At 50.2% G+C, this 13887-nt stretch overlaps 1 protein-coding gene and 1 long non-coding RNA gene across 3 annotated transcripts in view, besides 2 other annotated features; one reads left to right on the top strand and one right to left on the bottom strand.

Moving 5' to 3' along the window:
• The window catches only part of PEBP4 (phosphatidylethanolamine binding protein 4), a 227827-nt gene that overhangs the window by 49563 nt on the left and 164377 nt on the right, over positions 1-13887 (top strand). The gene's annotated exons all lie outside the window — the stretch shown is intronic.
• On the bottom strand, positions 3493-13543 carry PEBP4-AS1 (PEBP4 antisense RNA 1). The gene is made up of 4 exons (NR_125433.1): positions 13364-13543; positions 10927-11004; positions 4272-7557; positions 3493-3839 (listed from the first exon to the last, which is right to left on the bottom strand). It is a non-coding gene; the product is annotated as a PEBP4 antisense RNA 1 (long non-coding RNA).
• Positions 4263-4763: an enhancer, noted in NCBI's record as "H3K4me1 hESC enhancer chr8:22744265-22744765 (GRCh37/hg19 assembly coordinates)". NCBI's record gives its function as "activates a minimal SCP1, AML or CMV promoter by ChIP-STARR-seq in naive H9 embryonic stem cells {active_cell/tissue: H9 hESC(naive)}" and the evidence as "EXISTENCE:reporter gene assay evidence [ECO:0000049][PMID:30033119]".
• Positions 8085-8144: an enhancer, noted in NCBI's record as "active region_27097". NCBI's record gives its function as "activates an Ori minimal core promoter by ATAC-STARR-seq in GM12878 lymphoblastoid cells {active_cell/tissue: GM12878}" and the evidence as "EXISTENCE:reporter gene assay evidence [ECO:0000049][PMID:35858748]".

The following is a 13887-nucleotide window of genomic DNA, read 5'->3' as shown; positions in this document are numbered from 1 at the left end:
CCCAGACTCCTCCTTCCCCCAAACAGCTTTGTCTTCTGAGTGGGATGAATCACACCAGCCCAAGAGGCCAAAATGAACACTTCTTGGATTTGTTACTTGGGTTTCATTGGAGGGAGATGAGGATGTGGGAGACAGCAGGTGAGGTAGGACAGAGGGCAGGAGGAGCCTGGTTCCATGGCTCCCACCCCACTTTCTGCCCTGGCATCTTCCTATGTGTGAGCCACTTATACTGGCTTTGCCTTGACTGCCACATAAGCATTCATTCATTCATTCATCTGGCAAGTGCATATGGAAGAAATATATAACACAGCTGACCTTTATTGGACATCTGGTATTGTGTCAAGGTCATTATGCTGCATATGTTATCCTATTTAATAAGATGGGAAGGGCCGGGAGCAGTGGCTCACGCCTGTAATCCCAGCACTTTGGGATGCTGAGGTGGGCAGATCATGAGGTCAGGGGTTCAAGACCAGCCTGGCCAACATGGTGAAACCCCATCTCTACTAAAGATACAAACAATTAGTCGGATGTGGTGGTGCACACCTGTAATCTCAGCTACTCGCAAGGCTGAGGCAGGAGAATCACTTGAACCTGGGGAGGCAGAAGTTGCAGTGAGCTGAGATTGCTCCATTGCATTCCAGCCTGGGTGACAGGGTGAGACTCCATCTCAAATAAAAAAAAGAAAAGGGGGAAGATGTTGAGGAAAGAACTTTATTCCCAAGTTACTAGTGAGGTTCAAGAAGGTAAAGTAACTTGCCTAAGACCAAGCATGCTTGCCGGTAAAAGTCAGGACTCAAACCCATGTTGTCTAATTCCAAACTCTGTGCGCCACACTGCCTGCTACCTGCCACCTGCCAGGCGGCCTCTGAACATAGTGACCTCTAGACACACTCTGTCTGGTGGACAACACAGTGTGATGTGGCAAGTGCCACTATGAAGGTGTGCCCCACAGTGCTACTGGGGCACAGAGAGGGGAAGCTGGGAGTTTGAAAGATAGGGCTAATGATACCTTCCCCATGTAAATAATGGAGAATGGAGAATGCACCAGATTTCACCTTGGGGTCTTTCCAACGCTGAAATTTGTAAGTCTATGACTTGAGGTTGCTTATTGACATAAAGTTCCTAAAATTCTAGAGAATCGCTGCCCAAAGTGTGGTCCGTGGACCAGCAGCATCGGCATTCCCTGGCCACTTGGTAGAAATGTGCCATTGCGGGCCCCATCCAGACCTACTGAACTGATGTCTGCAGCTTAGTGAAAGTCTCAGACTCTTGAGTGTTCATTACTGCAGTTTCTCTCTTGGATGTTCTCTTGCCTTTCACCTTCAGCCCCTGGATTTCCTAGAGCGCAATTGTTGCTGAGTCCCCAGGGGAGGAAGCTACCTCTTCTCCATCACCTATCTCCTTCCAGGGCTCTCTGTCTCTGTGCCTGTTGAGAGTGGCAAGTACTGGCTCATGTTCTCCTCACTCCTATCAAGGAGCATGAGGTCTTCCAGGTAACATCTGGTGGTGCTCAGCGGCTTGCTCAGAGACCTCAATATTGCTTGGCTCAACCAAAAATAAATTGGAAAAGAAAATTGAACATTGCATCAATTTGGAGCAAGTTTATAAATTCTGCAGCTAAGCAATACCAATAGAAAATGATAGATCGCCACCGAGCAGGGCGTCCCTGCAGTGATGTATAGTCACATTAGCTGAAATACCGTATTACATGATTCTGCTTTATTACCAGTGTTGGTGGCAGACAGAAAAACAGATTACACTTGAGTTCAAATCGATAGGAACTTTATTTACCGGCCTTTTAAAAACATATTTCTGCACTTTATAAAAACATATTTCTGCACTTTATAAAAACATACGGTAGATGCTATTGATAGAGGTTGTCTGCTTGTTAAAAAGCAATTTGCCCAAAACGAGGCTTTTAAGCTGTAATTTACGGCATTACCTTTTACCTCCTTTAAGGGTTCTGTTTGCTTGGCTGTGCTTTGACGACTTCCTTAGACTTCTCTTGCCTTTAATTTTTCTCTCCCATTTACCATCTCCCTAAACTCTGAGCTCCCCGGAGCCTTAGAGCAGAAAGGAGAACAGGGTAGCATCTTCTGAAGGGGACTGGGGTCTCTCCCCAAAGCCCAGCTTCCACCTTCCTCTTCTCAGCCCCTGCATTGTTCTGGATTTTGAGGGGGCTCAGATGGCCCAGCCTCTGCCTCCTGCTGTTTCTCACTCCCATGGTCTTCTTTTCCTCCTTTTCCCAGCTCCAAAATGGGTGCTTCTCTCCCGAGCTCTGATTTCAACAAATCCTGTATGGTAGGAAAATTATCCCCATTTTGTAGCTGTGCAAACTCAGGCTCTCAGAAGTCAAACCCAGGTCTTTTGAGTCCAAATCAAATCAAGTCATTTTCGAGGTTTGAAGATTGTGCCCGGCAGTAAGCCTGGTGCTATGGGAATGCAGAGAGCTTATGATCCACTTGAGAAGACAAAACAAACATACTTTTGAATAAACTATGAGAGGTACTTCTCAGTGGTTAAATCACATAGTGACTGAGCATATGGGAGTTTGCCGAAGCCTGGAAGGCTTCCTGGCGGAGTAAGCCTGTGGCCAGGATTAGCCCTGGGTTAGCCAGGAAAGCGGAGAGATGGGAGCTCCCAGCATGGGGAATAAGGTGTAAGAATCCTGAGCCCAGCACTTCCTGACATGGAAGAAGAGAAGGCCTGGTGGCGTGCTGGACAGAAGTGAGGAACCAGTCAGCTGGGCACAAGGGCCTGGTGGCAGAGGCCCAGAACACTGAGATTTGATGGGGACAGAAGTGAGGCATTGCAGGTTTCTGGGCACAGGAATAGCATGAAATTAATGGTTTAGGAAGATGATGTCATAGTGATGTGTGAGATTCTGGTTGGAAATCTGGGGATGCGGTACCAGTGCCCCTGAGCAAACTGGTGTGGCCCAGCCCAGGAGGGCTCCAGAAGCCTGGCCAGAGATAGGCAGAAGCCACGGCCACCTCACTTACAAGCCCCACCCTCATAGCAGGGGCCAAGACTGAGGGTTCTCCCGTGGCCGGTCCTTTTAGAACTGGATGGGTTGGGGCATCCGGTAATCCCAACACTTTGGGAGGCCGAGGTGGGCAGATCACCTGAGGTCAGGAGTTCGAGACCAGCCTGGCAAACATGCTGAAACCCCATGTCTACTAAAAATACAAAAATCAGCTGGGCTTGGTGGCACGAGCCTGTAATCCCAGCTACTCAGGAAGCTGAGGTGGGAGAATTGCTTGAACCTGGGAGGTGGAGGTTGCAGTGAGCTGCGATCATACCACTGCACTCCAGCCTGGGCAACAGAGCGAAACTGTCTCAAAAAAAAAAAAAAAAAAGAAGTGGGTGGGTTGGCCAAACATCCTAGGTTGGCCCTGCATCCAATAAGTTATGTCCTAAAGAAGATGTGTGGAGTCCCCTGCAGGCCACCACAGGGGAAGACAATTAACTGGAAATAAGTAGACAGCAATTAAAATGAGAGCACTCACTCCCTTTTTATTGTCATTGTTGTTGTTATTAAATTATTTTGAGTTAGCAGGTGTACAGATAAGGGTCACAGTGAAAAGCTAACCTCCCTCCCACTCAGTTACCTACTGAAGCAGCTCCTGTTCCCAGCGTGTGCATGCGCGCATGCGTTTGTATTCTCCAGAGACACTTCAGAGGGTTTCTTTTTAAAGACAATAAACTAAAAAGTGCTAGAGAACATCATAAAACTTCATTCGGTAAATACGTTCTTTGAGATGGTCTTGCTCTGTCACCCAGGCTGGCAAATATGATCATGGCTCACTGCAGCCTCGACTTCCTGGGCTCAAGCGATCCTCCTGCCTTTGCCTCTCTAGGAGCTGGAACTACAGGCGCACACCATCACACACGGCTGATGTTTAAAGGTTTTATAGAGATGGAGTTTTTCCATGTTGCCCAGGCTGGTCTCAACTCCTGGGCTCAAGGAATCCTCCCACCTTGGCCTCCTGAAGTGCTGGGATTACAGGCATGGACCACCACACCCAGTCTTATTTGGTAAATATTATAAAAATATACTAGGAGTGGCTGGGCACGGTGGCTCACGCCTGTAATCCCAGCACTTTGGGAGGCCGAGGTGGGCAGATCACCTGAGGACAGGAGTTTGAGACCAGCCTGGCCAACATGGTGAAACGCCATCTCTACTAAAATTACAAAAATTAACTGGGCATGGTGGCAGCCACCTGTAATCCTAGCTGCTCGGGAGGCTGAGGCAGGAGAATCGCTTGAACCCAGGAGATGCAGGTTGCAGTGAGTTGAGATCGCACCATTGCACTTCCACCTGAGCAACAAGAGCGAAACTCTGTCTCAAAAAAAAGAAAAATTATATATATAGAAATACACACACACACACACATACACACACACACACACACACACACACACTAGGAGTGTCCTCAAGGCCCAGTAACTTGGGAGGATTGAAAAAAATAAATACAAGAGATAAGGAGAAAAATAAGGAGAGATGAGTCACAATTAGACTAACAGTCCCATCCCCTCCCCTACACCCTGCAACTTTGCTTTGTGACTTGAGCAGCGTCCCACCCCACCCTGGGGTGATCCCTGGGCCTCCTCGAATCCCTCTGACCTTACCCAGGAGACCCCTGCCACAGCAGACAGTGCTGCTAACTGCTCCCTCAAACACCCACCTCTGCCCCTACCTGAGAACTCCCCAACTTCTGGGCAATGTGCCCAGTGCCAGCTGCCAGCCAGGTGGGCCACCCCATCTCAGGTCCCTGTCACTGTCCCTGTTGCTGCTGTGTGAGGAGTCGGGGCATGCCAGGTGCACCAGAGCTCTCAGTGCACCTGCTGGGCCACTGCTCTGGGGCAGCAGGATGTTTGGGGGCTACAGTCTTACCCCAAAGGGCTGCAAATGGCAGGGTCCTGCATGGCTCCAAACTGAAAGAGGTTACACCTCTCCCTGCCCCTGCATGTTGGCCTTGACCTGGACTTGACATGTGCTGAATGCTTGCTACATGATTCCATTTAACCCTTACACCTCCATGAGACAGGCATTGTTTTCAGCTGCATTTTAAAGATAAGAAAGTCTAGACTTGGGGAATTTAAGAAGCCTTCAAGGTCCCACAGCTGCTAACTGACAAGACGATGGGATGTATTACACGCCTGGTCAGATTCAATGGCTGTGAGGTGTGTTGAATTTCCTCTTGACCAGCATGGATGGAAGAGCCGCCTTTCGCCTCTTCCAGAACTGTGCCGTGTTTCTGAACTCCATGGTTGGTGGCCGCTTCTGATCACTTCTGTCTTGCCTGTCTGTAAAGTGCAGAAATAGACCCTGAACGCCTGTGGGAAGAAACGCTTACTCATTTGACAGTCCTAGCACCGAACAGATAGTTATTCTGGAGCAGGGAGTCAGTATTTGTCTAGTAAGGGTTTCATTGTTGAAGAAATGATTGATGAGTGAGCAAGTGAGTGAATAAATGAATCAACAGGTGAGTACAACTTCCCTCCTTAACCCGTAATTCCATGTTAGTCACAGGAGAGAAGTGAGCCTGTCTCCTGCAAAAGGATGCATAAGTCAACCCTGCAGGCGGTCTGTGACTAGGAAGCCAGGAGGCCGGTTCTTGGGGTGGCCTATAAGCTGGTACGAAAGCAGTTCCCAAACTCAGGTGCTCCCCTTCTCTTGCACACAGACGGTGTGCCTGGGACACAGAGCTGGCTTCCCAAGAGGACCTGGTGAATACCCACGAGGCGTATTCATCTGCATGCATGAGTCCTGACTTCTTTCAGAAGCTCTCTGGAGACCTTGGGCAGAGTAGCTTCACTAGCAACAGTGCTGAGGACGCCAGGAAGTGGAGATGTTGTCCACAGACTGTCTCTTGTGTCCTTCTAAGCTGGGCATCTTCTGAGGCTTTTTCACACTGAAACGGAAGAGCACAGCTCCTTTGCTTCAGGCAGAAGGTGAGTGCCAGCTCCCTCACATACTCGGAGGACTCACAGTTACGTCGTGTGCCTGGTGCTGGGGACCAGCAGCAGGTGTAACCCAGCTCGGCAGTCATAGCAGGGAAAGGCCAGTGCCAGCCTGCTGCTTGTACTTGGTCGTGGAGGCAAAGGGCGGGTGCTGGAGTCTGCCAGACCTGGGCTTGAATTCTGGGTCAGCCCTGTACTATCTGTGTGACTCTGAGAAAGTCATCTAACCTCCTGAGCCCCAGTTTCTTCATGCGTAAAAGGAGGAAATAAGAGAAACCATCTCATGATTGTTGGAAAATTTAGATGAGATGATTTATGTGAATTCCTCAGCACTCATAAGCTCTCAATAAACAAGAGCTCTCTTTATGAACTGGCATCAAGCAAGGACGGTGTTCATCTCCTGGGGCCGGGTAATACTCATTTCAGTATCGTCACAGTCTCCTTGCATTGCATTGAATGCACCACTTGGTGCAAAAAGCTTCTCTTCTTACTGCCAACAAGTGTCCACTTCATTTGGGGAGAGTGCATTGAACTCTGATAGATGTAACCTGATAGTTATCTCACAGTAAGTGCTGCTGTGATTCAGGATGGAGATAACACCACAGGGTGGGGCTTTCTGGAAGAGGTGAGCTTGGCCATACTTTGAAGGATGGGCAGGACTTGAATGAGCAGAGATTAAAGGGGAGAGTTTTTTCAGGTGAGATAAAGGGAATAAGACAGATCCCAGACCAGGAGGCAAACATTCACATTGGAGGATGCAGCAAAATTAAGGAGAGGACATTGGGAGAAGAGAGAGAGGATGTTGAATTGAACTTATGTGAAGGCTGGGGACAAGGAAGAAAATGCTCATCGGGGAACAAAGGAAGTCAGAAAGCACCCCGGGCTGGGGGAAATGGCCCTTTGTCAAGGGGGTGGATGCTGCCTTTGGAAGAGGTTCTTTCTTCTCCCTTTCCCCCTCTTGGTGCTCTCAAGTCATGCACTGAGTGAGTCTTGTCAACCAGCTCTTCCCTGATTAACTCTCCTCCCGGAGCCTTAAGTCACGATCTGCACTTGCTTCTCTGTAATAGCCAGGTGAACCGTGCCATCCCACTAGGAGAGAAGAATGCACATCCTGACATTCTAATAGGCTCAGCAGCAAAGACAGTGCTATCATCGTGGTGGTGACAGCAGGCTCCAAGCCCTGCCAGGTAGTTTTCACAACTTTCTAGTCATCCTTGTCTTATTAATTAGGAGAGTCTATCTCATAGATTTGGGGCTATAAATCTCAGATAACAGCTCTTCAACCTTCATAACTGCTTCTAACTAGGTGGTAGAACCAGGTGCATTTCATCTTCATTTTAAAGAGGTCCCTGTGTCTGCTCTCTGTGTGGGAGCCCTCTCTGCAGGATGGGAGCAAGAGGAGCTGCTGATGATGGCAGGCAGCGGGACATTTTCTACGTGGCTCTTCACTGGCCTCCAAAATTGCCAACTCTTCAGCCCTTAAGTCAAGATGCATCAACTCCAGCCCCTTCCCTGGTTCCCTTCTCAGATTGGAGGACACGTGTCCGGGCATCGGAAGCCTTTGCACTCCAACATAAATATGTGTGAACCCTGGAGCGGAGAATTGGTGAAATCAGCTGATGGTGGAGTTGTCCCCCCTTTTTTTTGTATCCCCCGCAAATAGTATACAGTAATCAAAATTTAAGCCACCTGAGATGAAATAATTGCTTAACAATCATATAAGACAAAATGATTCAACAAATGACAATGAGGCCCTGTGATATACAGAACAGATGCATTCAGTGTACCATATTATAATGCGCTAATACAAGATTGACAGCACAATAATAGGAGTGAGCAGCAACTCAGCCTATAATTCCAAACCAAATGTGAGGCTGTCCACGGAACTCAAATCCTAGCAGGCTGCAAAATTAGAGGTAACACCACGCAAGGTTCAAGACGACTCATTAGCAGGTTGGCAGAGTGTTTCAGGAGCAAATTTTTCTGTCGAAGGAACTAATTTTGTGCCACCTTCAGCTCACCTTTTTTTTTTTTTAAGTGTGCAGATACAACCTTCCCTGGAGAGGGATGTGGGGGTGGGAGGTTGAGATCTGGCCAGAGCCCCTTGGGGCACAGGGAGATCAGGTCACTGGTGTGGGTTTTTGAGTGGGTTTGAGTATTGGGACAGTGATCTGGGTGTGTTAATGGGTGATGCAAAGCAGTGGTGATGTGGCAAACACTATGCAGGCTGATCTCAGTGTGAGAAACTGATGGGACTTTCTGCTGCCTCCTTGGGGCTGTTCTCACATCAGAAAGTGTTTGGATCAAGGATATAATGAAGGATAATTGTGATAAGCATCCTTCCAGGTCCGAATCTCTGAACCTTTAAGCAAGCATCATAATCCCTGCTTTCTATAGATGCCCCTGTTGTTTTGATGGTGTCGGGGATTTGTTTTAATCAGGTGTGGGAAGACATGCAGACACAGAAATGGCTCTCATGAAGGAGGAAGTTTTATAATCACAGATCCCTAGAGGCAGGGGGTATGTCTCGCAGGGCCACATGGGGGATACCCCAGGCTCGGTTGGGAGGCAGAGGGAACTAGGGAAAAACCTGAGTAGGAGTCTTCATCGTGGGAGGAACAGGTGGGGTAGGGTGAGCAGGGTTGGGTTGGTTAGTATGAATCATTTCAATAGGCTCTGGGTATAAGGACTGTTCCTAGTGGTCTAGTACCCACCCTGGGGTGGTTTGGGCAGGTGGATAGTGGCCTGGAGTGTAAAAATCTGATAGAGGAGGTGGTTGGTGGTATGGGCACTGGACTGGTAGGTTTTCATAAGCAAATTGTTCTCACAGAGGAGTTTCCTATTTCTAGGAATTAGCCCTGGGAGGGGCAGTCCCTCCAGGATCAGTGAGGCCCCAAAATGTCAAAGCACAAAAATTACAGAATAAAAAGACACGATTAATACACCTTCATAGTTTCACATTTGCGGCTGCTTTCTCTCCGGGAGCCACGGTCCCTTTTCTGCCAGTTTGAGGCCTCCCTCTGTTCATGATCAAAATAGGGCATGGTAGCATCACCATGCGTGCATGACAAAAAGTCGTGGTACATTCTCCACACCACCCCAAATCCTGGATCTGTGAGGTCAAGAAAGAAAAGCACCCACCTCCCTTCAACTGGGACCCCCTGCTGGCTCCGCCCCCCTCTGCTCAGTGCAGGGCTGCCTGGGTGTGGCCAGCACTGTCTGGGTCACTGGTGCTGTTGACGCACACTTTCCTAGAGTTGGACTAAGACATCCCATGTCTCCAGTTCTGCCAATAACAGGCTGTGGGCCTTGGCAAAGCTGCTGTGATTTCCTGTGTCCCCATTTCCTTCCCTGAAAAGTGATAGGATGGATCCCAGTTCTAAATGCTTATTTTCTCTGAAGAACTGGGGAAAGGATAGGGAGAAGCAGGAAAAAGGTGAATGAGATGGAGGGCTGGGGGGTTCTCTAATCTTCACAGAAAACCAGTGACAGCCACATGTTGGAGAAGCCTCCCAGGTATCATTGACAACCCCTTCCTCATCTGCCCCATTGAGCCAGGGATGGCAGTGATTCAACACCCACAAGGTAGCCAGGCTTCTACGCTTATTACCTTGAGTAATTCTTACAACAGCCTGAGGACAGAGTAGCCACTCTCAGCACCATTTTACTGCTGGGGAAACTTAGGTGTGGAGAGGTTAAGTCAATAGTCCCCACCTGCTCACGGCCACACAAGTAGTAATGGAGCGTGGCCTCCCACTCCACAGTTTCATCCCTAATTGCTGTATGCTACTGCCTCCCTCTGTCATGGGCAGGATCATCCATGTAGGACTGGATGGCTTGAGTGTGATCCAGGCAGCAACAGAGATTCATTCCAGGGGGAGTTATTCCAAAGAGGGAGAGTGAATCCCAAAGGAGAAGCATTGCCCCATGGGGAGAACGCTATTTGGAACTTAAGGGATTTCCACTAATTTCTTCTCTTAACAAGTATTTTGTGTCTATTAGATACCTGGCATGGCTCTAGGCACTGGGGACATACAACTGCGAGTGAGATGGTCCCAGTCCTGCACTCAGGAAGTTTTCAGCCTGGCAGAGCAGGACAGACATAAGAAAAGTGAACAGATAAATACAGTAGCTGCAGGAAGCCCGAGTCTGAGGGGCTCTGGCCTGTCTGCATCCAGGTCTGTAAGTTGGCCAGCCTTGGACACTTGGAAAGGCACAAGTCCTTGTAGGTGATAGGAAGGTCTGAGGAGCCAAAAAAGAGGGTGAGAGGCACCCCAAAATGAGCAACTACCGCCCTTAGGCTGGATGGAGAAAGGGAGGATGTGGGATTGGGAGAGTCCAGAAACTGGGGCATCCCTGGGGACACTGGAGCCCTGTGGGGCCCCATGGACACACTCAAGGCCACAGTCACTTTTGGACGCCAAGAGGGAGAGGTAGGAATATCCTGGCTTCTTCTTCCCTCCTGCACTTTAATTTCCTGCCAGTACCTCTAGATGGCTCAACCCAAACTAAATCCAGAGGATCTGGGAAGCCTGGGAAGTGCAGCCATGGGGGTCAGTCCCCACCTCTTCCCCCAGGCAGAGCAGAGCAGGAAGGGTGGTGGGACCTGGCAAGGGCAAGCAGGGCCCAGGCCCTGGCCCTGGCCCCGTGCTTCCCCTTCTTTGGGGACTGCATCAAGGTCTTGAGGTCTATAGAAGCTCCTGGTGGGCTGGAGAACCAGTGGCTTTGAGCAGAGTCTGGGTCTAGGCTGCCCCTGCCAGAGCCCCAGTGGGTCCCTCCCCACCCTCACTGGTCCACCTGGGCCACTCCACATCCATCTCTGCATGGCCGAGAGAAGGCTGCAGAATGGGGAGGAAGGTATCGGGAAGGGCAAGTAGGGAGAGCACCTGGCGGAGAGGAGGGCACGGGCCACCTGGAGCTGTCCCCAGAGCCCACATGCACCTGCCATACAGTAGGCACCTGCTCAGTGAAGGGATGGAGATCCGGTTCAGGAAGGGTCTCAGCATCAGAAACAAAACACGTACACCAACAGCTGCCCTGAAAGAGAAGTCAATGCGAGTGTAAAGCTGGTGATCGCTGCCTCAGGAGCGGTTTTGAACAAGTTTTTCCTTTAAAACCCCAGGGCGGCCATCTATAGCCCCCATCTGCATCCTCCTGCCGAAATAACAATACCTCACATTTATAGAGCCCTTTGAGCTTCTCAAAGCAAGTTCTCATGTCATTTGACCCTCACAAAAGCCCTGTGAAGTAAATGGCAGGGACAGTAGTTGAGGTGGCTAAGGTCACATGGGCACCCACTGAAGAGGTGGGGCCCACTCAGGGCTGCTGTCTCGCCTTCTAGCTGAGTCTCCCCTAGGCTCGAGTGCCTGTGCTTTGTCACCCCTCCCAATCATCCACTCCTTTCAGGGTCCTGGCCCTGGGCAGAGCCCCAGGCGGCTCTCTCCTCCCCATCCCCTTGCTCAGGCCCCACTTTGGGTAGAGCTATTCCCACTTGAAGCCAAATTTGGATGCATGTGGCAATCTACTTTTCAGTCTGAGAGATCAAAAGGAACAATATTTTCATCTGCGGAGACAACCGCCACAACAAAAATGGTGCTTAACACCCTTTTCCCAAATGCAACATACCCCTCTGTGTGCCATAGAATCTTACCATATTTTGCCATGAAATAAACACACCAGAAAATTTTTTTCTTCTGTGGAAGAGGATGGAGAAATTTTGGTAATTAAAACTCCCATCGATCAATGCTTAGATCTCAGAGATAATTGCATTGCTGCTGCAGATGTTTGTTGAATTACACAGTTTTATTTTCAAGCGTGTGTGTGCCTTAAGGCCTGAAATCACACCTCCCCCGGTGTGAAGCACCCCTGGGCAGGCTCCCTGTCCTCCCCGACCCTCGACCCTCGTGGGATAACGTGGTGACAATAGCCCGGTGGTAGTCCTGGCTCTGCCTCCAATTAGCTATATGGGAATGAGCCTGTGATCTATCCTATCTGGACCTCAGTTGCTTCTGTAGATTGAAGAGCTGGAATTGGAAAATCTCAAGGTTCTTTCCCTCTTTTGATGTTTCTTGGAGTCAACATTCCTTTTGAGAGGTGTTCTTCTCTCCCCACTGGCTTGAAATCTCATCTCTGCTACTCACCAATTCATGCGTTCACAAGACGTTTACTGAGTGCCCTTTTTTCGGCAGGTCCCATTGTGAGGCTTGAAAGTACAAGGGTGACTAAGATATAGTTCCCACCTCTGGGGCGCTCACGGCCTGGTGGGATAGGCAGTCCAGAAGCAGACATGTCGCAATGCAATATGTTGAGTGCTGTTCTGTCAACATTGAGAGCGTTGAGGCCACACTCTCGTTCTGTGGCCTCACACAGATCAGTTAAACCTCCATGTCTGGTCTTCATCGTCACTGGGGATATTTGCTTCCCTTCCTAGCTGAGATCTATTCACTGTGAGTGGGCTCTGAGATGAGATTAGGATAGAGCATAGTAAAATGTTTCCCATGGGGAAGGGCTTGTCCTCTCTTTCAGTCTCTAAAGAGATGAAGGAACACAGAGGAGATACCACCCGCCCCATAGCCACGCTAAGCTGGGAACAAGAACTATAATTTTTAGCTCATCCCCCTACCCGGTGCTCTGTGATAAGAAACCAGCCCAACATCATTCTGGATGCCCTCTTCCAGCCTCCAGGGTCTGCCCGTGGTGGCTTAACTGTGATGACAGTTAAAATGCAAGAATACTTTCAAAAGGAGGGCTATTTTCCCCTTGGCATCCAGCTTGGCCTAGACATCCAGTTTGCTCTCTGTTCCCTGAGCTCCAAGCCTCCTCTCTGATGAAGCCAGGGAATGCACCCCTGTTTGGAGATCCTGTGCTCTGCCGACTTGCTCAGGCTGGCCAGTAGCAGAGTCCGAGTGAGCATCCCAGAGGAAGGAGGCCAGAGTACCCAAACCCAGAGGTGCCAGGCCCGGAGAGGGAAGCCCTCCCCACCTGTCTGCGCTTTGTGATTAGATATGAGCAATAGGGTAACTCACAGGCAGCAATCTCAGTCACTTGGTGTGTCAGGTAAACTGACGGGCAGAAAAGTGAGAAAGCACCACTTGGAAACCCAAGGCCACTGCCACACGGCCGGGTCCTGCCACCTCTCAGAGCCCTCCCACTGAGCATGCACTGACCCTCCACCCTCTCCCGCAGAGCCCATGCTGGTCTGACCTGCAGGATGTGTTTTCCGTAGAGGCCCCCAAATACCATCTTACCAGGCCAGTCCCCTACTATATTCTCTAACCTTAAATTCCAGGGATTCCGCCCCTCCCTCCCTCCCTCCCTCCCTCTCCCCCTCCCTCTCCATGCTCACCCTCCACCCCCTTTCCCTCAGGAGCTGCTCCTGTACCTGGAGTAGATTCACCTGCAAACACTCAGCTTGCAGGAGCACAGCAGACTGGGGAGTTTCCTTTCCCAGCCAAGCTGAGTTTGGAGGGGGGTGTGGGAGGAGGTGGGGAGGGCTGGGGACACAGGTTGAGTCTCTAAAGAATGAGGACTGCATTGCCTTCTTCCCTGCCTCCTGGTTACAGCTGAGAAAGTAACCAACTTCGTGTGTGTCTGTGTGTGTGTGTGTGTGTCTGCGCACGCGTGTGCAGTGTATGGATGCACAGACGGCCCCTCCATGGTGGGGTGGGGAGCCGTTCTCTCACCCTGCAGCTTTCTGCCTCTCCCTCCACCCTCCTCCGACTCCCTGCGTCCCACACTGCAGGTGTCTCTGAGGCAGTGTTTATGTAAGCAGCTCATGTTCTGCCGAGCGACAGCGAGAAGCTGTTGTCAATTCGAGGAAAGCCCCCGGCTGCCCACATGTGTGGTTGTCCCCGTGGGTTTCATAACAGGAGGGGGAGGTGGGGAGGTGGGGTGGTGGGCCCCTGGGGTGAGGGTGGCTGG

The sequence above is a fragment of the Homo sapiens genome, chromosome 8 (assembly GCF_000001405.40).
Source record: "Homo sapiens chromosome 8, GRCh38.p14 Primary Assembly".
Classification (NCBI taxonomy): Eukaryota; Metazoa; Chordata; class Mammalia; order Primates; family Hominidae; genus Homo; species Homo sapiens.
This window is presented reverse-complemented; position numbering and strand designations above follow the sequence as displayed.